This window comes from Homo sapiens, chromosome 7 (assembly GCF_000001405.40).
Source record: "Homo sapiens chromosome 7, GRCh38.p14 Primary Assembly".
Lineage (NCBI taxonomy): Eukaryota > Metazoa > Chordata > Mammalia > Primates > Hominidae > Homo > Homo sapiens.
Genome location: NC_000007.14, coordinates 20,296,476 through 20,319,198, shown reverse-complemented (window position 1 = coordinate 20,319,198; position 22,723 = coordinate 20,296,476). Strand labels below are relative to the sequence as shown.

General features: G+C 37.5%; 1 long non-coding RNA gene across 1 annotated transcript; it reads right to left on the bottom strand.

Annotated features, from left to right (window-relative positions):
• Nucleotides 1–7,486: 7,486 nt before the first annotated feature.
• Nucleotides 7,487–22,491, bottom strand: LOC101927769 (uncharacterized). Its single transcript, NR_110117.1, has 5 exons — nt 22,440–22,491; nt 20,802–20,917; nt 18,142–18,187; nt 13,176–13,407; nt 7,487–8,164 (listed from the first exon to the last, which is right to left on the bottom strand). It is a non-coding gene; the product is annotated as an uncharacterized LOC101927769 (long non-coding RNA).
• Nucleotides 22,492–22,723: the final 232 nt, after the last annotated feature.

Genomic DNA, 22,723 nt, shown 5'->3' with positions numbered 1-22,723 from the left:
CTGCTTTTCATGTACCCAGGCTGAGTTCACTGGTGTATGTTACACGCCCAAGTCCTACAGTCATTTAAGTCTGTGATCCCTGCACTAGTGGCTCACGGACAAAGGGAGCAGTGCCCAGCCTCTGATTCTTTATTTCCTTAGATCAACTCAACATTTAGCATCGATTCAGCAGGAATTATACTATTGTCAATGAAATGTGGCATAACGAAAATTTCTAACAACCTCTCTGTATTTCCTTTAGCCAAATAGTGATTGCCTGTTATCTGATCTGTGTTCTAGCTCTTATCAGTTTCCATCGTACCTCTTAACTCTGTATTTTATTCAGCCTACAGGAAGAAGTTTCAAGTTATAATAGCTTCTCTCCTGTTACATTAGATTGGCTTTTATAAAACTGAAATTTTCCTATCTTTTGAGAACTCTCTTTTTCTTGATGTTCAATTGATTTTGAATCTTCCAAATATACTCTGCTGTAGCTCTATGAGACTGACATTTTCTGATTTTCAGGTGTTATTTATTGAATTACTGGTTCTCTTGAGAGAAAAACTTGCATTTCTTCTAGTTAATAAATTTCACTGAATCCTGTTATGACACCTGTTTTTAACTTACCCACTTGGGCCGAGCCTAGCAATATCTTCCTGATGCTCATTATTGCCTCAACTTTTTTTTTTCTTTTTTTCTTTTTTTTTTTTTTTTGAGATGGAGTTTTGCTCTTGTTGCCCAGGCTGGAATGCAATGGCACAATCTTGGCTCACTGCAACCTCTGCCTCCCGGGTTCAAGCGATTCTCCTGCCTCAGCCTCCTGAGTAGCTGGGAATACAGGCACGCACCACCACACCCGGCTAATTTTGTACTTTTAGCAGAGATGGGGTTTCACCATGTTGGCCAGGCTGGTCTAGAATTCCTGACCTCAGGTGATCCACCTGCCTCGGCCTCCCAAAGTGATGGGATTACAGGCATGAGCCACCGCGCTGGGCCTATTGCCTCAACTTTTATCAAGAAAAGTCCGACAGTCCTAGATCTTGCCCAGTTGGTTTTTGGTCTCAAAACTAAGTAAGAATATGACTTTTCATCATGGACACTGAGGGCAGTATGAGAGAGGTGCTCAAGAAATGATGTATTTACAACTGGGCAAAATCAAGTTCTGTTGTTTATAGAAAGTGTTCAGTAAGACATTAGGCTTAGTACCTTTAAGAAACTATTAAAAGTGCTGTTTAGAATATTAGAAAGATTATAAGATAACAATATTTTGAAGCGCTTAAGGGGTCAGTTAAAATTATTTTAGATATTCTGTTTGACAGCAAACAATGTATCTCTAGAAAAGGGAGATAAATAACAACTGGAAGCATAATTACCATATAGCCATCCTTTGGAAGGATACCAGAGCTCAAAACACCATTCCAAACACCTTACTCTGTCTTGGTAAAATAGTTTTAGTGGTAAGTTAAGGAGTATTGGAGAAAAACTATTATATACTGGAAAAGATAATTTAGAAGTGGCCTGAGGAAATTCAGATGGAGACATCCAGAAGGCAATTGGAAATATAGTTCTGAAACTTAAAAAGGGAAGTATGAGCTGTCATTATAGATTTGAGAGTGAAAATATGCTCATGCTTTAAGTACATCTTATGTGCCAAGGCCTAGGCAAAGCATTTTCTATTCATTGTATCTTTTAGTCCTCAAAGGTAATTATGATCCCAGTACTATTATTATCACTGTTCTTTAGAGGAGGAAACTGAGTTACAAGGGTAAAATTATATGCACAAGATCACATTGTAAATGGTGGGCTTAGGATTTAAAGCCAGGCAATGCGATTCAACAACCTATGCTCACAATTATGACTGCTTTCCAGCACACATGGGCACTTACTCTGTATACTTAGCACTCAAAACTATTATAGATATTCAGCTTTCTCTGTTGTAGATAATGAGCATTAATATGACATTAAGAATTCTTTCCGGCTTTGGCTTTAATGGGAAAGAGTTAAAAAGTTACAATTTGATAATTATTGAGAAATTTATTAAATTGGTGTTTTCCTTCGATGACTGGATTTTGAAAACAAAAACATAGTTTTGATTTTTTTCTTTTTACCACAAATGTAATAACATGTTCAGAAAATCTCATTGTCATGATAAAATAACACATTTTACTGAGGTAATTATTATAATAACAGGCTATTTCACATTTTTTCCTCTCCACCCAAGTCATTTTGTTTTTAATGAGCCGACTTTTATCTGCTTAGCATCTGAGGCAGATGGCAGGACAGTTGCCTAACTGCCGTTTTTTTTTTTTGGTTGGGGAGCGAGGTTAAGTCCTATGCAGAGAGGGAGATAAACCTCAGCAGAATAACCGACTATCAGTAAACTATTGTCATCATCTTGAACTATGTAAATATATAAATTATTTGCTTTAGCTTGACACTCCAGTAGTAAAATTCTAAGAATATTGAGTAATGTTTTTTATATCCATCTTAGGTAATTAATGGAAAATCTAGTAAACAGAGCTTATTTTATTGGTGAAGAGGTGCACGGCAGACTGAGCTTATTATGACAGAATTGTTTAGCATTTACTAAAAAATGGTACTACTTAGTGGCTTGACAAGAAACAATTAATTCTTAAGGTTTGCTTCCATCCCAAATAAGTGTGCTAGAATGAAGGAAGAGTCCAGCTCAGGTCTTTTTCTTGCCAGAATATGGCAGACTAAGAGCAGAGGACTATGTAAGGCAGAGGTTTTCAGTAGGGGAATGGAGCCAACAGAATTACCCACTGGGATTTTTCAATTTTGTTTTCTAGATTTCCCCAATCTCCCCTTTGTGACCTAACCTGAAACGGGTTAGGAGTCACAGTCTCCAGGTGAGAAGTGGCCAATGCCTCAGTTCTCATGCTTAGCTACTCATTAAAATAAACTAAGAAGCTTTTAAAAAATACTAGCATCCAGTATCTCTAAAATCAGAATCTCCAGAGTTGGGGGTTGAGCAGTGATATTTGAAAAAAAAAAAAAAACAAACAAAAAAACAAACAAACAAAAAAAACAAGCAAACTAACAAAAAAAACCCTTGCCAACTTATTCTAATTTGTAGCCATGGTTGAACACCACACGCTTACTTGTTTTAGTCCATTTAGTCTGCTATAACAAAAATCCTTAGCCTGGATACTTTATAAACAACGGGAATTTATTTCCCATAGTTCTGAAGCCTGAAAAATGCAAGATGAACATGTCAGCTGATTCAAAGTCTGATGACAGCCTGCTTCTCAGAGATGGTGCCCTTTCACTCTGTCCTTGCATGATGGAAGGGGAAAAAAAGTTTCCTTCAAGCCTCTTTTAAAAGAGCACTAATCCCATTCGTGGGAGGCCTCATAACCTAATCTCATCCTAAAGGCCCCACCTCTTAATATCATCACATTGTGGATTAGATTTCAACATATGAATTCTGGAGGGACACAAACATCTAGGCTGTAGCAGTAGTGTAGGTTGAAAATCCTGATATTCTAACCTCCCCTTCCCCCAGCACACACTATTTCTTTAATTCCTGGTTGAGAACCTTCAACCTTCATGATGATGAAGACATTCGTGAAAACCGAGTACCTCATTGCTGGGGACCAGAGCTAGGTCAGAGTCTCTCAACCTTGGCCCCCATTTAGGCTTTGATGGTTCTTTGTTGCAGGGGAGGGGTCGTGCTGTGGACGGTGGGATGTTTAGCCACACCTCTAGCTTCTAACCATTTAGATACCAGTTGTACCCTTCCCCCCAGTTGTGACAACCATTAAATGTCTCCAGACATTGCCAAATGTTCTGTGGGAAGCAAAATCTCTCCTGATTGAGAACTGCAGACTTAGCCAATTAACTAAAGCAGGACCCAGTAAGTCAGTCTGGGCTGGGGGTGGATCTGGCTGGATAGAATATGAAATCCTTAAATGCAAACTGGAATGCATGAAGGTTTACGTGGGGCTTTACATTTTATCTGAAGAAGATGTGGAAGCATTTGGAATTTGTTCTGTTATTTATTGCTATGTAACGAACCACTTTAAAATTTAGTGGCTTAGAACAGTGACAACATAAATTGTATTCACAAATCTGAAATTTGGCCAGGGTTGGGTGAAAGAGCTTGTCTTTTGTCTACTGGGGTGGCCCAAAAGCTGGGGGCTAGAATTATCTAAAGTCTCACTAACATAGTGGTTAAAGGCTGGCTGTCAATGGAGATTTCAACTGGATCTATGACTGAAAGACCTACATGTGGCCTTTTCATGTGGCTGCTTGGCTTTCTCACAGCATAGTGGCTGGTTTCCTAGGGCCAGCATCCCAAGGGAGCCAGGAGGAAGCTGTATTGCATTTTATGAATTGGCCTTAGAAGTCACATAGTGTCACTTCTACTGTAGTCAAAAGTTCACCCGGGTCCAAGAAGAGGTAACGTAAATCCCATCATTTGGTGGAGACATGTCAATGTCACCTTATAGGAAGAGCATATAGGATGGTATGTACTGGTGCTGTCATCTTTGGAAAATACAATCTACCACAAAGTTGAAAAAGCAGATCACACAATTGCTTACCTAGGGTCTACAACAGTGCTATCCAGGATTGCTCAAAGGAACACCTGTGTCAATCAGCTGGGGTATATTCATTTGAAATGCCAATTTCTGGACCTTTCTTTCAAGGATTTTCATTTGGCAAGTCAGCCGTGGACATCTGGTGTTTGGTTTTTCAACAAGCCCTCAAAATAATTTTTATTCATCTTCAGAATGTTTTTTCTTTATACTGATGCTTTAATCATTTACACATTTTCAGTACACATTTCCACATTTTCTTCCAGGAAACAAGGCGATGATACAGAGATAGCTTTGAGTAATGCAGCTGTTTTGAAGAGCTACTTCAAATATTGCCTTTGGATTTGTAAAATGCACATATTACTTGTCAAAAGACACTTTGAAAGTAGTGTTGCTGATTGGGTTTCTGTGGACATTTGATCTGTTTTTGTTTCCATGCCATGTCAAAATGAAAAAAGAAAAGAGATAATATTATAGTCTGAGTCAAGAAATTTGAAATTATTTCTTGGGTCAAATTTTATATGCTTTTATGAGACACATAAATTCTACTTTTTGGGTCAAATTTTACCATAAAATGCTTTTATGTTACATTTGAAAACTATACTTTAGGCATCAAATGAAAAGTCAACATTTATAATTATGTAGTTGAAGTTGTATCACAAGGAAGGATTCTTTATAGAAACTTAAAAATGATAATGTATATATTAATGTGGATTCAGTTTTCAAGGGGCATTATGAAACTGTAGGAAATAACATGCTAATGTAGGGAGATTTCCTTGACTTACATGTTGCTGATTAAGCAGCTTCAATGGCCTAAACTATACTTGAGAAAGCAGAGTGTAAAAAGGCCTCTGTGCAATCCAAATAGAATGCAAAAATTCATACCCTTTACTTAGAGTCTTTTTCTATAAACTTACATGAATTTCTGATAGCAGGGTTCCCAGCTTACAGCCAAGGTAAAGCAGTGTGTTAGAATGAGTCAGAAGTTGATAACGACAGTCAGGCACCATAAGGACTATGGGAAACTGAGGCAACAAAATAAAAATGTAATGATTTCACAGCAAGGTAGTTTTCAGTTTTTCAGAGTAGGGGAAACTCATTTTTGCCTCTCACTATTTTTAGCCATACTACATACTACAGAGGTATGTTTCATATACGTTTCTTCACAATATGTTTGAGTTTTTGAGAAGCTTAACTATTTTGAATATATTCTGTTTGAAAGATCAAGGAAATATTGAACAATTTTAGAAAATAATTATTTCAAAGTGGTTAAAGTAAAATAAGCTCTTTTGCTTTTAATAGATACACTTCCATTATTTATAAAATTAGTTTTGTGGACTATTTCATTTGCAGAAGATACTATATAATAAGTGTTTCTCGATGTACAAATTGGTCATTCTATTAAGATATTTTCTTTAAAACTTAAAAAAACTGAATTAAAAGCTTGGGTGTGATTTAAAATCTTATTTGGAAAACTATGTCAGCTTTTCAAAGTTATGTCAGCAGATGCTAACAAGCTGGGAAGGAACAGCAGAACCACAGGGTCATCTGATCCACCAAGGCCTCACTCCAAAATGCATCACAAATGTGATCACTTGTTTTTGCCTCCACTGCTACCACCTTGTCCATGTCACCATCACCATCATCTCTCCCATCTGTATTTCTGTGATAGACTTCTATCTCCCTTTTCTCTTGGCTGCCTCTAATTCCTTCTTCATGCAGCCAACAGATCAATTTACTTCCTTTTTTAACCTGCTATCATGGCTTTCCATTCTCTTTCAAATAAAACCCCAAATCCTTACCATAGCTTTCAAGGCCTTGCATGATTTGGTTTCTGCTTACTTCTCTAATCCCATCCATGACACTCCCCTTGGCTCACTCTGCTTTAGTTCCCTTGGCCCTCTGTTAGTATTTGTCCTTTGCGTACACAATTTCCTCCACCTCTTCCTCTCTATTCTTGGCAGAGCCGGCTGTTTATTCTTCAGGTCCCAGTTTAAAAACTGTCTCCTAGGAGAGGCCTTTCTTGACTTACCTACCTATTGTTGGTCTGTGTCTCCCCAGAATTATTCCCTATAATGGTATGGTATTCAGTTCCTTTGTAGCCAGTATCTTTATATGTTTTACCTATTTTTTTGTTCATTTTCTGTTGCCTTCACAAGATCGATGAAGGGAAAGACCAGTCTGCTTTACTGAACACTGATAATGATGGGTGCCTGGCACATAGTAGGTGCCTAGTAAATATTTTTTGAATTAATAAAATCATGAATGGCGTTCTATAGATAAATCAAGGATAAGTACATGGACTATATATTGGAAAGTGCATGTGCTAATGCAACTTGTCTATATGTTTAACAAGAATTTGAGTGATTCATAGATGCTCTATCCATATGAGCTTTGAAATGAGAAGTTTGTAGAGTTCATAACTAATTTTCCCTATGATATCATAAATCCATTCTCCAAGGTTGACTTTGTCAGAGTCCAAGTAAGGCGTTGAAGATATTTAGCTTGATTCAATCAAGTGCTTTTTAGGAGGAGAATAAAGGGAGTGATAATAAGATACGGAGCAAGAATCATTAATTATAGTATCTCATTTACTCTCAAGCGTAATGAAGAAGTTATATCTGTTAATGTTCTTGATGGAATTTGAGGAGTTTTCTATTACATTACACTCAACAGTGGTTCAGTAAATGTGAGTTTAGTTAAATTTCTTTCATTACGGGCCTTAGGTGTGGGGGGTGATACATAATAAGAACACACTATTTCTTAAACGCATAAAAATTTTCTGACCATTTAAAAGAACCTTGTTTAAACTGGTTTTCTTTGTGTGTGTTGTGTTGAATGAATTGAAAAGTAGATATAATTATATATGCTGTTAATTTAACTACATAAAGGTGAAAAAACAAACTTGAAAAAGTCTTTTTACCCTGTACTTATGCAGAAACATGTGATGACAAGACAACAATTTTATTATAAAAGGAATGCATAGTAGGTCTCATGTAAAATAAAACAAGAAATAAACCTTTAGGTGGCGGCCAAGAGCTATCATTATGAATTCCTTAGCCTGTTTTTATGAGAATTTATGCTCTTGTTTGAAAGTTGTCATGTAAAATGGGCTATTTAAACCACAATAATTCAGTGCAAAGCAAACATAAGGACAAAATTAGGCCTAAGAAGGAACTAGATTTGAATGTTAATATCATCAAATAATTAATCAAATTTTAATTTTGATTTGATTTGACAGTTGGTGTCTTGATTATGATTAGTAGTTAGAGACCCAGTTCTGGGAAGATAATGGTATTGATATGGAGTTACAGGATTAATTATTCTTAGCACTTAAGTAATTGTTTTAATCTTCACATAAATCATCTTTAAACAAAATGGTAGCTTTTTAAGAACTCAAAGAGTGTTATAAAGATGTCAAAACTGTCCAGATGCTTATTGTACAATTGAAAGCTCCATTCAAAGTTGACACAGGCCCCAGAAGAAAGGTCAGTTATCTAACTCACTTTTGCAACATCTGGCAGAAACTATGACTTGTTGGAGTACCAGTGTGTTCTTCTTCTCCTTTTTTACTGCTCTCCGAAATGAAAGTTTATGATTGTATCTGCCATGTGCCCCTTTCAGTTCTAGAAAAAAAGAAAAGGATAAAATGTTTTTTAAAAGGCATTATGATTTTGTGATGACATGCACTCGTTTCAACTCCTTGTTTGTTCTTTTAATCAGTATGCATTAATCTACTCAAAAAGTTTTAGACATCACTATTAGATATTGTTTTAGAGTAATATTTATGTAAAAATTTTCTCATTAACCATTAATTCTGTTTGCATTTAGATTCATGATACACTTTTTGATAAGGCTTTTTGGCAATATAGACTACATTTGGTAGTTGCTTCTAATTAGTCAGGACTTTTTGATGAAGTGTTTCTAGCTCAATTCTTGTCACCTTAAGTAGTACACATTTAGCAATGGCTGTATACACACCCAGCATCATAGAGAAGCGAAAACAAAGTAAACGACAACCTCAGTACACAAGGAGTTGACAATCTCTCTAGATGCAGCAAGAGAACAGGAACAAATTAAAATAATTCATTAAAAACCACACATTGGTGTTGAGTAATAAAAAAGAAGAAAAGAGAAAGTGTGGGTTGATAGTAATAAAGAAAACCTCCATAGAGAAGATGAATAAACTAGTGAAGTTTCCCAATACACTAATGGGAAAGTAAAGATTGTAATTCTTAAGAAACTCTAGTTCCGTTATTTAATGTCAATATTCCAAAATTATACTTTCACAAAATAGATGCCAGAGTAGCATGAAACAGCTCCTTTTCTAAATATTTTCCACTACATTAATCAATGAAGATGGTGACATCCTTTCTCAAAAAAAAGCCTACTTAGCATGTTGCTGGATTACATAGCAAGCTGCCCACAGAATTATCCAGAAATTATTTCTGTCCTCTAGTAATTTACAATACAAAATTGTCTAGGAAGAAAATTAAGCTAAAAACTTAGAAGGTTGTATCTACGGAATTATGTGATAGAAATGTAATATTTTCTATGTCGCCTTGAATGGTTTTAAAGCGATATTCCCAAGGCCAGGGATCAGGAGAGCCATCTCTAATCTTGACTCTTAGGGTATATATATGGTGATAAAATTGTGGTAAGGAGTCATGATTTCTGTGGGGGCATTTTCCTTCTCTATGAAACCAAAGAGGAGAACCAGAAGATCTCTAAGTGTCCCCTCAACCCTAAAATGTTACATTTTATACATTTACAGAGTAAAGCAATACTTCATTCGACATTATCAAAGCAGAAATTTTTTTTCCATCTGATGAGCAAACTCATGGCATAGTTTCAGTGGGAATTGCAAAATGAATCCCACTATATATGAAGCCCCACACATAGGTTGAGAAGGGCTCCCTGGCAGTGCTCAACCTACATGATTGTGTGTGTTGGCTCTATAATCATAGCAATAAAAAAAAGAAGACACAGATAGTTTCTCTCAACTAAAATTTTGTATAATAGTGGTTAGTTTTTAAGTCAACTACACAGTCCCCCAGAAAACCTGGAGTCTTTAATCAAGGTAAAAACTTTTAAATGCAAAATCAGTAACCTAAGAAAAACTCAAAGAACTGATTTTCTTGTAGGTAAAATTTACCAAATCTGTTAAGTGCTATGAAACCAGTATATATTATGGTGTGTCAGTGTTGTTTTCATAAACTTACAAGACCTAAAACTTACAAACAATTCTAAAATAGTAGGTGAGTGTGTCTTCTTAGTACTTAATAAATGTAATATGAATTAAAATTTAACTTCAAATATGCCAAAAGCGTAAAGAGTCAGCCACTATGCAAAAGGACTTAGTATACATGTATATAGCCATGAAGAATTCAGATATTAGAATTTATATCTCTTTAGTTCAAAGCAATGCATTTCAATCTTAGTGGGCCATTTACTTTCACGTGCAATATACTATTGCACACTTTTGAAAATGAGATGAAAGTCAATAAAAGAAAGATGAACATCCAATTCCCAAAACTTAAAAAAAAATCAATTCAAAGTGTATGCCTATTTGATGATAGGAGGTTAGAGAAAACCTCCGTATTGTGAAAGCTTTCATTATTTGATTTTTCGTATGTAATAAGCAGTATAAAATGATGGACATGCCTCCTGTCTCCAATACCACACAAAAGTAAGTAAGAGAAAAAACCTTTCTGTTCCATCTCCCTACAATAATTGCTTCAGAAACCACAGTTAATCTTGGGATACACCATTATTCTGCTGCTTGCTAGTGGACCATACAATGTGAGAAAGTTATTTTTATCTTGAGTGGCAACAATTCAGCAGGATAGACTTGCCAATTTGAGTCCCACTCTTCACTATTTCATTGGGGTGAATGATGTCTGATGTAGACAAGTATAGAAGTTGGCAGATCTCATTGATTTTATTCCCTGTGAATCTACAAATGGGACAGATATTTATTTATTTATTTATTTATTTATTTTTAAAGGCAGTCTATTTAGAATGCTGTTTTCTAAGGCAACTTTTTTTCACATTTTACTATATTAAAGAAATACTCAAAATCGCTTTAATCATAATCCTTTGCACGAAGTCAGTGGGACTGGGATTTAAACAACTATTGAAAAATAATACACAGAAGGAGTGAGAAAAGAATGTCATCCAGCAACAATACATTTTTTTTTTTAAGTTGGAGCAAAATGCCGAACTTCTAATAGAGGGGCTGCAAAGAGAAGAAGAAAAGGCGGTCAGAAAGAATATAAACTAAAGGTAAATAAGAAGAATGAAAGTCGGGACAATACAAAAATGGCTAAAGATTGAAGTGGGAAGAGTGTAATGCACAAAAGTGAAGCCGGAGAAAAAAATGATGAAATGTAGAACAGGAACAGCGGCACAGAATGGAAAAAAAGGAGGTCAGAAAAGCACAAAGAGGGCTGAAGAACAGCAAACAAAGAAGTAGTATCAAATGGAAAGGGAGCAAGTGTCTAGATTATAAAGTGGGGGGAGAAAACATCAACATTCGGGAGGGAGGGCGGCAGCAGAGTGAAGAGCCAGAGCCACGGGAGGAGCCCAGTCATTTTGCTTTGTCTTCTACAAGTGGAGTTTATGCCACTTGACTGGAGCTTGCAAATGGATGTGAATTATTTTACTGGCATTCAAAGTCCTGCTGTAACGTTGTTAGGAATTTGGCATGGTAGTGTCAGCCTTAACAAAGGCTATCAACTTTCCTCACGTTAAACCAAAGCAGCTAAATTTACATCCTTTTGCAGCTTTCAAGCTTTTTTCAAATGGCATAAACTGGCAATAGCTAGGCTTGAAAAATTCTGGGCATTAAAGAAAGCAAAGAATCTGTTTTCATTAAAGATAATCTTATGATCATTTGCTCACATTCTTATTGCTTTAGTTTATAGTTTTTTTAAGAAATCAAGTTTACTTGAATTTAGATGGTTTTATGAAAATTCTAAAAATTCTTGAAATATGGAAATACAGTTTGCAACTACAAGGACCAAATTGCTAAGATAAACTATCAAATCACCATTAAAAAGGGCCCTTTGTCTAAGTAGTTACTTTTAAAATTGCTTTTGAGAAAAAAAAAAAAAAGGTCTCCTTAAAGTTGCAAATAATGACACCAAGAATGATTTGTTACATAGCAGGTCAAAGTAAATCAGTAGTTTCTTAACTTTGAACTGGAACTAGAAACCTAGATATATTTTCTGTTCTTCTGTTTTCTCCTTCTCCTCCTTAATAGCCTCTGAGCAAATTATCTACTGAGTGAAGTTTTATATCTTCAAGTTCAGCTCTGGTTAGGTGTTCACTTTGTTTCTCCATGGGAACAAACACGTTACCATGGGAACTGGGTAGCACAAACTATAAACAGTACTGAAAGCTTTTAGAAAGAACCACGCTTATAGCACAATGTTAACTATACAATGCAAGTGCTAGCTGGCCATTCCAATACCTAGCATATTATGGCATCTCAAAAAGAATAACTTGATCCTGTGCCTTATCAAATGATGAAAAAATAAATAAAACAAAAGGAAACTATACTTTTTTCTCATTAGAGAAAATGCAAAAGTTTGTTTTCATTAAAAAAGTTAAAATCCACAAAACATATTAATTGTGGTGATTATTTGCATTGACTTAAAAGATACACTTAAGTTTCTTCATACGATGAGTGCTTTTTGCACACTGACATTATCTTACATACCATATCTGCTTTGACATATGCTGGGTCTTAAGTCAGGGAAAAAGAAGTAAGAAAGAACAAAGGGGTTAGCACTAAGGGTCTAAAAGTCGGGTGAGTCACCAGCATTCCAAATCATCATATCCCAGGGTAGTGGAACTATGTTTCTGGGCCAGGAATGATTTATCAGGGGTTGGAATCTGGTGGGGAGGGTATGACAATAGGAATTGCAGGCAATGTTAGGGCTTTAGTGCTAGGCAAGAGAAAGATAAGGCCCATTCAGTTAGAAGCAAAGCTCCAGCCAGTGTCTAGGGAACGGAGTGTGAAGTTCAAGGCCAAATACTAGTCATGAGGCAGGGCCCCTGTTCAACAAGTGATGGTTTAGCTTAGGGTGTGGAGTGGAGGATGCCTACAATGACAGGCACACAAAAGTGAAGTTTAGGTAACAGCATTGTTGGATATCTGCAGCTTGCTGACACCTCACAGGCGCTCTGCATACTGGGCCCTGGAATACATGGTTTACTCCAGACTCGAGTTAATGATTGTGGCTAGAGCTTTTAATATATTGCCTGGTTTCATTAACATCATTAACATTGATTCTGTGGATAGGTGATGCTGGCAGCAACTGAAAACAGAAAGGAGACCTGATTTTCTAAAGATCAACCCACTATAAGACCTCCACATTTAATGTTTAACGTTGGTACACTTGTAGATAGAAAGAAGCATTTGCAATTCATTGGCAAAGGAAGAATGCCCATGCAGGCCACACATTTGGTTCCATGTTCTGAATAGTATGCTATCATGGCAATTATTGCGTGTTACCTTTAGGTGAGGAAATGTCTGATGTGACATCAGTCTCTTTGATAAAAGCAATGAAATAAACTTCAATAAAAGAGTTAACATTTTTAAAAAAATGTTCTTAGGTGCCATCTCCTTACCTTGTATTTTTCGGAGTCCTTCAGTGGCTGTTTGGCAGAGGCTCAAAGCAATTTCAGGGAAACAATTTGAACTGAACTGTGTGGTTCATGAAGTTTGAGATCAACAGACTGGCAACTCTTCAGCTTTCAGAAATAATGTGGTCATGCTGTGTGTGTCTCATTGCACTTCTGGGTTATGGTTTATTTAGTTTTATGGAACAAAATAGGTTTCCATGTAAAATAACATTTTCACCTATAAATTAGGAGCAAATAAAACAAAATTAATTTTGATGTAAAAATCTAGTCTCCCCTGTAACCCACATGTAAATTCCCCATGTTATAATTAGAGAAATGCTCTTACTAATATAAGACAAAAGATATGAAAATAAAAAGGCAATTGCCATTTTAAAAGGAAGTAGAAATTCAAAAGAGGAAGGTGTGAGGTTTAACAAAACATTAGAATTAAAAATGATACCGACAAACTAAGAAAGAAGGAAAGTAAGCTGATATTTTTATTTTATTTTTACACTATAGAATTGAATGCAATGTGTAATGTCCCTCTTATGATTTGGAAGTTGAAACAAAACTAAAGCAATGTGTTAGAGTCTCTCCTCATGACCCTGTTCATAGCAGTCAGGTAACTTAGTTCCCCCTTTCTTTTTTTTTGGAGAGGGAGTCTCGCTCTGTCGCCCAGGCTGGAGTGCAGTGGCGCCATCTCGGCTCACTGCAAGCTCCGCCTCCCGGGTTCACGCCATTCTCCTGCCTCAGGCTCCCGAGTAGCTGGGACTACAGGCGCCCGCCACCAAGCCCGGCTAACTTTTTTTTGTATTTTCAGTAGAGACGGGGTTTCACCGTGTTCACCAGGATGGTCTCGATCTCCTGACCTCGTGATCCACCCTCCTCGGCCTCCCAAAGTGCTGGGATTACAGGAGTGATCCCAATACTGGGGCTGACCTCAGGACTCGGAGTACAAAACAGAACACAGCATAGCGGGTGAGAGTGATAGTTCAATGAATAATGAGAATATAGTGCATTAGAAGTAGCTATGAAATGCTGCGAAAGATAAACAATGCTGGACACTAAATAAAATGGTAAGAATTAATATATAGTATTACAATAGGGAAAAGAGTGCAACGTGAACTAAGCTCAACAATGACCTGTACAGAGGTGATTAGGTATTTTAATGGGAGAATGAAGGAGCAGGGAGAAGGTGAGTTGGGATTCCATAGTTTTTCAGGAAAATGAAAAATTACAAAAATCCAGAAACGAGGTTAGTCCACGTGAAACCCATCTAGCTTTGTTTACTGGTGTTTATTGAAGTTCGGCTCCTCCCCTCCCACAGAGACTGGAAAGCGGGATGCTGGTCTCCAGGTGTTGGCTGGGACAACAGGAAATTCTTTATCAGGCTTGGACTTTAAGTGGGGGATAGGCTCATCCTAAGTAAACAATGTTGAGCTGTTAGAAACTGCCTTAGTGTTTGTTCAACCTAGAAAGGTAAGCTTGAGTCCTAGTCAACAAGAGAACTCAGAGGAGCCTGCTAGCGTTTGGTCAAGGTGATAACCTTTGCTCATACTAAGGAGAAAGGTGCCTGGGTGGGGTCTGAAAACTTTACATCAAGAACCTCTTCAGAGGCCTAATAGGTTTCTCAGTAGACACAATGGAGAATGCCCAGGGCCAAATGATACGTCCTTTAGCAGGAATAGAGTTGTAAATATGGCTTGTGGAGTGGCAGGAAATCAGATCAAAAGGGAATTGGGAGTAAGATCATAGCAGGCTACTGAGTTTGAATTGTATATCATAGTCTAGTGCTTCCCAAAGTGTGGGACTCATTCACAAATAACATTTTGGTTGTATGAGGATGAAGCATGAAATCATATTGTCGCATGATTTAAAAAAATTTTTAATTATCTGTTACCCCCTCTAATTAACTTCCGGAGAAAGGCTTAGGTTGATGCTAATCTGTGTCTTAAATGGTATTTTTTTTTTTTTGAGATGGAGTTTCACTCTTGTCGCCCAGGCTGGAGTGCAGTGGTGCAATCTCAGCTCACTGCAACCTCCGCCCCCCGGGTTCAAGTGATTCTCCTGCCTCAGCCTCCCAAGCAGCTGGGATTACAGGCGCCCGCCACCACGCCTGGCTAAGTTTTTGTATTTTTAGTAGAGATTGGGTTTTGCCACGTTGTGCAGGCTGGTCTCGAGCTCCTGACCTCAGGTGATCCACTCACCTCAGCTTCCCAAAATGCTGGGATTACAGGTGTGAGCCACTGTGCCTGGCCTTAAATGGTATTTTCCAATCAGCCTTTCTAACAAAGAGTAAATGAATTTCTGCCAACATTTAATGATGTAATTTCATTTTCATTAATTTAAAAAAAATAGATTTCTTTTATAGAACTAATAGTCATTTTCCCTTTTAGTAAGTAATATGAAGTTTTCTTTCCAAATATATTTACTTAAGTGAAACACACTGAGTCTGTTTAAAGACAAAGATTACGTGTGGTGGCAGGAGGAAGAGTTAGGATGACTCCCTTCTTTCTGGGTTGCTCCAAGAGGGAAGTGGTGGTGTCATTAACTAAGGCAGGAATTATGGAAAAAAAGCCAGAACAAAAGAGAAGAAAATAAAAACCAAGAATAAGAAATGGCTTGCCTATTATTACTGGATGTGCAACAAAGTTTATTTAAACCAAAGTCCTATAACTTCAAGGACATACCCAACCCACCCTCACATTCTCTCTAATACAGCCAATAAAAGCATGCCATAAAACAACCTCATCATTTCTACAACCTGCCTTCTCACAGCCTGCCATCACCTTCAAAATGCTGGGTGTTTTTTTGTTCTGCTAGGCATTTATCCTAGGTTACATCCTTGGTTCTTATGCAATTTGGTCTTGACTTTAAACGTAGAGCTTTCTTTGGTCTTTATTTTACTGCTTTCACTTCAGGGCACAACTGAAATGCTGTATTCAGCCAAGCTTTTGGACCCTTGGGTCAAAGATCCTGGCACCCATGCTCCTCCAGTAACAGGCAGGCTTGTGTATGTACTTTCTCTCTCTCTCTCTCTGTGTCTCTCTCTCCCCCCATTCCCCCCCTGGAGGATAATCCCCCCTTTGCATGGGGGATTATTAGTGTGTCCTTGAAATATATTGCTTTTTATGTATCATGCATTAAGATATCAGATGTCAGGAATGCAAAGACTTTTTTCTTCTTTGGATATCAGTCAGTCATTCTTTTTGGAGTAATTTAAATTAAATCCCTCTTTTGGAGCAAGACCTTCAACTTTTGATTTTTCTTTTTGAAGCAGATCTCTTTGCCTTTTGAACTTCTTTCTGAGGTTCATATCTGAAGCTATTCTGTCTGTCTTCTGAGATGATGTACCTTATCATATAAAAATGTATGCTGTGGGCTGGGCGCGGTGGCTCACGCCTGTAATCCTAGCACTTCGGGAGGCCAAGGCAGGTGGATCACCTGAGGTCAGGAGTTTGAGACCAGCCTGACCAACATGGTGAAACCCCGTCTCCACTAAAAGTACAAAAAACTAGCCGGGCGTAGTGGCAGGCGCCTGTAATCCCAGCTACACGGGAGGGTGAGGCAGGAGAATCACTTGAACCCGGGGATCCGAGGTTGCAGTGAGCCCAGATCGCGCCACTTCACTCCAGCCTGGGTGAAAGAGCGAAACTCCGTCTTTAAAAACTCCATCTTAAAAAAAAGTATATTGGACATTAGCTCCTTGAAAATGGCTTTTTCGTGCTGAATGTTCATGGTGAGGTCAGTCTGAATTTTAGTAATTTCAATTGACCCCTTCAAATTGAGTCTTAAATTGTCTAAATTTTTAAGTACAAAATTAGTTTGGTCGTATTTTATTAATCATACCTTATTTGTAATCAAATAAAGTACACCATTATTTTCAACAATTTTAAAAATTTTGCGGAATTTGGAGTTATGGTGTTGTAATAGATGCACATTTTTAAATAAGTTCAAAATTTTTATATAAAACTTATATATGTAATTAAACCCAAGAATAGCTGTTCCTTTCTGTTAATAGTCTATTTTTCAGTTATGGGTTTACTTTGGATGAAATTTTGACAGAGATACTTGAGAATTAAAGATCTGAAAATGAATTACATTTATAAAAATACACAAGTTCATACTTCCTATATTACATATAAAAAGATATTTTTGTCATGGGATATTTTATGTTAGCTTTAAGACTTCCATTTTTTAAAAAAGATGAGTCATTTCCTCTGTCTGGGAGATGACTGTGAGTGGTAAAAGTCTGGGTACATATGTTAAGGTCACAGAACTTTGTTAGAGCACAGAATCCACGTTCAGTTTCAAATTTCGTCTTGACTTTGAAATAAAGCAATGGTGTTAGATAAAGAAATGAAGGAATGATTTGACTAAGGTAAACCTTCTGTATCCCCGGTTAGTATCTCCTGTAGAAATAGGTCATATCCTAAGCCTTGGACTTTGAAATTTTCATTCTTAGGTCTATAATGAACCAAAATTCTTACTAAGACAAACACTTCTTGCTTAACTTTTGATTAACTTGCACATGCAAGGACATGAATTTATATTGAAGAGTGATGTCATAGCTGTAACAAAAGGGATTAAAAAAAAAACTTAGGCATTTATGCCAGTCTTTTTCTTTTCTTTTCTTTTTAAACAGAGTCTCACTCTGTCGCCCAGGCTGGGGTGCAGTGGTGTGATCTTGGCTCACTGTAACCTCCACCTCCCAGGTTCAAGTGATTCTCCTGCCTCAGCCTCTTGAGTAGCTGGGACTACAGGTGTGTGCCACCACACCTGGCTATTTTTTTATTTTTAGTAGAGATGAGGTTTCACCATGTTGGCCAAGCTGGTCTCGAACTCCTGACCTCAGGTGATAATGCCCGCCTTGGCCTCCCAAAGTGCTGGGATTACAGGCGTGAGCCACTGCGCCCAGCCTATGCTAGTCTTTAGCTCAGAATTTTAGCAGAGTAAAAGTGGGCTCTACTACCTTACTTAATAGCTGTTACTCAGTCTCTTTCAGCCTTTGGATTCACCTGTGTAAAGAGAGATGATAAAACTTTATTCATTTGTTGTGAAAACTAAATTAAAAAGCATATTAAATGTGGTAATATTTGTAAAATGCCTAGGAGGTCATCTAGCATATAGTTATTGTTTGTTCCTAAGTCCCTCAACTCATTCCTTCATCTTTTCTTCTTTGGAAGACAAAGAGCATATTCTTCCCCTCAATGTAATCCATTTCCTGATGAAAGATGATGTATTTGCTCTATGAAGATGAGTGATAGGTAATAACGGATAGTGATGGAGAATGGCAAATACCAAAGAGATTATGACCTGGGCAAGATATCTCATTAAGCAAGGTTGCTTTCTGCATTCACATTTATTACACACAAAATGAGATACAGCAGTTTTATTTGCATAGTAGATGGAGAACAGAATTTATTTATAAAGCTCTCGATAAACTTCTTAAATGAAGTAAGTGCTTGCAGCTATAGTGTTGGCCTCACCAACACTATGGGCCATGAGCTGGAACATATGGAGAGAATGGGAGAGAAAAAAAAATCAGTTACAGTCTTAAAAGTGAGATAACAAAATAACAATATATGGCAATATAGAAAATAATCATATGAAAAGTACTGGTGACAAGTGCTTGTAGGATTTTAAGCAAATATATATATTTTTGATGATAGTGTATTTGTTCAGGTTCTGGCTGGAAACAACATTCATCTCAAATTGTTCAAATGAAGAGACATTGATGCAGTGGTTCTCAGTCTTGGCTGTACATTGGAAATGCTTGGGGAGCTTTGAAAAGTATACATGCCTGTGTTCTACCCTCAGAGGTTCTGCATTAGTTGGTCTGGTTTGTGGCCTGGCTGTTGGGATTTCTTAAAAGCTTCCCAGCTGATTCTAATATGCAGCTTGAGTTGAGAAACCAGGCTCAACCTCTGAGTTGAAAATGAAAGTACTGCTTTCAGAAGTATGGGCAGTGCTGGGAATTAAAGGATGGTAAGACACAAGAGACTAGCTACACGGGGAAATAATACTACCCTTATGATCAAAGAACAAGAGACACTAGATTGACCTAGTGAAAGCTGGACCAGAGGAGAAGGGGCTATTTTACCTAAGCTATAGTATGAGAGGGGGGTATGCTTCTATTTCCTGACTCTCAGAGCTGAAGCAGGATGTATGAGGGTTCTCCAGAGAAATAGACCTAATAGAATATGTGTGTGCATGTGTGTGCGTATGTGTGTGCATGTGTGTGCGTGTGCGTGTGTGTGTGTGTGTGTGAATTTTTTAAGGAATTTGCTCATGCGATGATGGAGGCTGGCAAGTTCAAAATCTGCAGAGTGGCCCGCAGGCTGGAGACCTAGGAAGAGCTGATGCTGTAGTTCATGCCTGAAATGTGAAGGCAATTTGTTGCCAGTATTCCCTCCTGCTCTGGGGCAAGTCAGTCTTTTACTCTTCTCAGGCTTTAAATTGATTGGATGAAACCCACTCATATTATGGAGGACAATCTGTTTCACTCAAAGTTCGGCAATGTAAATGTTAAATCTCATCTGAAAACATCATCATAGGAGCATCCAGAATAATTTTTGACCACATATCTGGGCAGTGCAGCCCAGCAAAGTTGACATATGAAATTAATTGTCACATAAGGAGGGAGAGGAGAAGAAATAGTCCAGCTTCTTTTTCTTCTCTCTCCCCTTCCTTTGGCCAGCTTCCCAGGACTGGCCAAAGGACTGGCCAGAACTGAATGAAGAATGAGTACAGGATCTGAGGGGCAAACTGAAGATGTCCTGCACATACTTCTAACTCATTTATCACAGGCTTGATTATTATTTTGAAAATGCCTTTTCTATTGTTAAAATTCTCATTTGGTTAGGTTGAGCAATATTATGACAGACTCTTGAATTTATTTTTTAAAATTATGCTAAAGACTTAGTGGTTTCTAAAATGATTTTCTAATGATCTTTGCTGAGATGGTTTCTCGTTAGACTAGAATAACATAACAATGTTTGTGTCACCAATGCAAATGCAGTTTTTACTAACCAATAAGAGCACTGCTAAAATTTATTTTCGGCTTAAAAGAAAATACTATTCTATCTAATTTTATATTAGATGGTCACCAGGAAGCTATGGTGACCATGAAGGCCTCCTGCTGTTTCTTAACTTCTAGCCCATGCCAGTTGGCTCCAGGCTTCAGGGGAATGAACAGTTGTTACAGTTAGCAACAGGCAGTATAGTAAGTATGACTAAATGTGGGGATTCTATTTTGACCACTTATCCCTCAGTGGGACCTGTGGGAATCCTATAGATGCTCATAAGAAACCCGTGGTTGATTAGTGGGATTGTGAGGAATGCTTGCTTCCATCTCTTTCCCCACAGGAGTTAGCTGAAATTCCCCAGTAGCCTCATAACACAAAGGTAGCCCCTTTCAATTCTAAGAGGGAAGAAATAGGGGTTTTCCAGGGGAAAGAAGAATCCCCTGTCTCTTCTACACCATTGTTCAAAATCATAAACAAAGAGACAAAATTACTCAGGTTAGGCCATGTATTTTGTACTTTACACCAGAACACATACCCTGCCATTTCAGAAACTACATCCAGGTAGTCCATTTTTATCAGTTTTGTGCATTAATTTCATTCTTACCGAACAGATTATGGCACTTTAAAAATGTTCTTCAGAAAGATTTCTTTTTCATAGGTGTCTCTGGTAATACTTGCTTCTTGCTTTTCACATTTTGCCACTTCTTCCAACTTCAAAATCTAAATTGGGAGAGCAAATACTTTGGTTAGCACAGACAATATTGCCAGACAGGGAAAATCATTTCTGCCAATGGAAATTTATGAAACCCAGAGGGGAAGCACACTCCTATTATGTTTGAGATGGAGAGTCATCAAATAGAATAATCTATAGGAAAGAATATAGAAAATGAAAATTGTTAGCAGTCTTCAATATCAATTCATTGGCATATATATTAGGGCATATTTTGGTACCACTGAAAAAAAGACTTAAAGTTGTATAAATGTATGGAGCAAACAGTAGGACAATGGTCTTACATAATATTTTATCTACACTTTAAAAAGCATTTTGTGAAAATTTTATTCTCATCCTAGAGTCTTTGTATTTATTACGGGTATAAGAAGCTATTGACGACCCTTACAAAGGCTTATTTGGGCATGAGAGGGTTCTGGAAAGATGGCAGAATAGAAAGCACCAGGCATCCATCTCCCCAGCCAGGCATCTACAGTGGCAGAATCTGTTCGATGTAACCATTTTGGAAATCTGGAATCGAAGGTTTGCAACTTCCAGGAGAAGACATGGATGGTAAATTATGGTTAACTTCAGTCAATGTCAGCTTTTAGCTTGACAGCAGCCACCCACCCCATACCCCCAGATTTGTGGCGGGCAGCTGTGCATGTGTTCTTGGAGCAGCTTACACAGGACTTGCAGGAGCCAAGGTGGGCAATAAGGATCCTATCCTCCAATACTGGAGATCTGTGTTCTAATCACTGATAGCTCCTTCTGATTATGGAAGTACAAACACCAGAGATGGGCATCTGTTACTGTTGTACTTCTCTGAACTTTTGGAAGCCCTTTTCCCTCCAGATGAAGTGACCTCCAGGAGATTTAAAGGGTCAGTATCCCATTCCCCATTCATTTGTCTCTTCTTTCCCTTTTGAGAGCCAGAAAAACTAGGATATTCAAAAGCAATTGCATATATGTGGAAAATTAGAAAGTCACCATAATGCTAGGAACAGGTGGAGGCTCAGAAAAGACCTTGTTTACACGTCAGCCTTATCCTCAGCACAGTAACAGCCTACAACACTCAAATCAAAACAAAACAAAACAAAAATCCGTAAGAAACGCTGAGGAGGGGAATAATCTGATTTCCAGAATTACCACACTACTAGATTTAAATGTCCAGTTTAAAAAAATCATAAGACAAACTAAGAAACAGGAAAGTATGTTTCATTCAGAGGAAAACATGAGCCAACAGAACTGATGGCAGATCTACCATACAAAAACTTTTTAAAAACAGTTGTCTTAAAGATGCTCAAATAACTAAAGAAAAACCTGGAAAAGCCAAGAAAGTTGATGTATGAGCAAAGTGGAAATATAAAGAGAAAGGAAATCTAAAAAGAAACTAAAAAGAAAGTCTGAAGCTAAAAAGTACAGTACAATAGTCCCCTAGTTATCTGTAGCTTTCTTTTCCAGTTTCAATTACCTTCGATCAACCATGGTCCAAAAATATTAAATGGAAAATTCCAAAAATAAAAAACTTACAAGTTTTAAATTGCATGCTATTCTGAATATGTTGGCGAAATCTTTCACTGTCCTACTCCATTCTGCCCAGGATATAAATCATCCCTTTGTCTAGTGTATCCACAGTATACTCTACCTGCCGTGAGTCACTTAGTAGCCATCTCTGTTATCAGATTGATCATTGTTGTATCATAATGCTTGTGTTCAAGTAACCCTTATCTTACTTAATAATGGACCCAAAGTGCAAGAGTAGTGAGGCTGGCAATTCAGATATACCAGAGAGAAACTGTAAAGTGCTTTCTTTA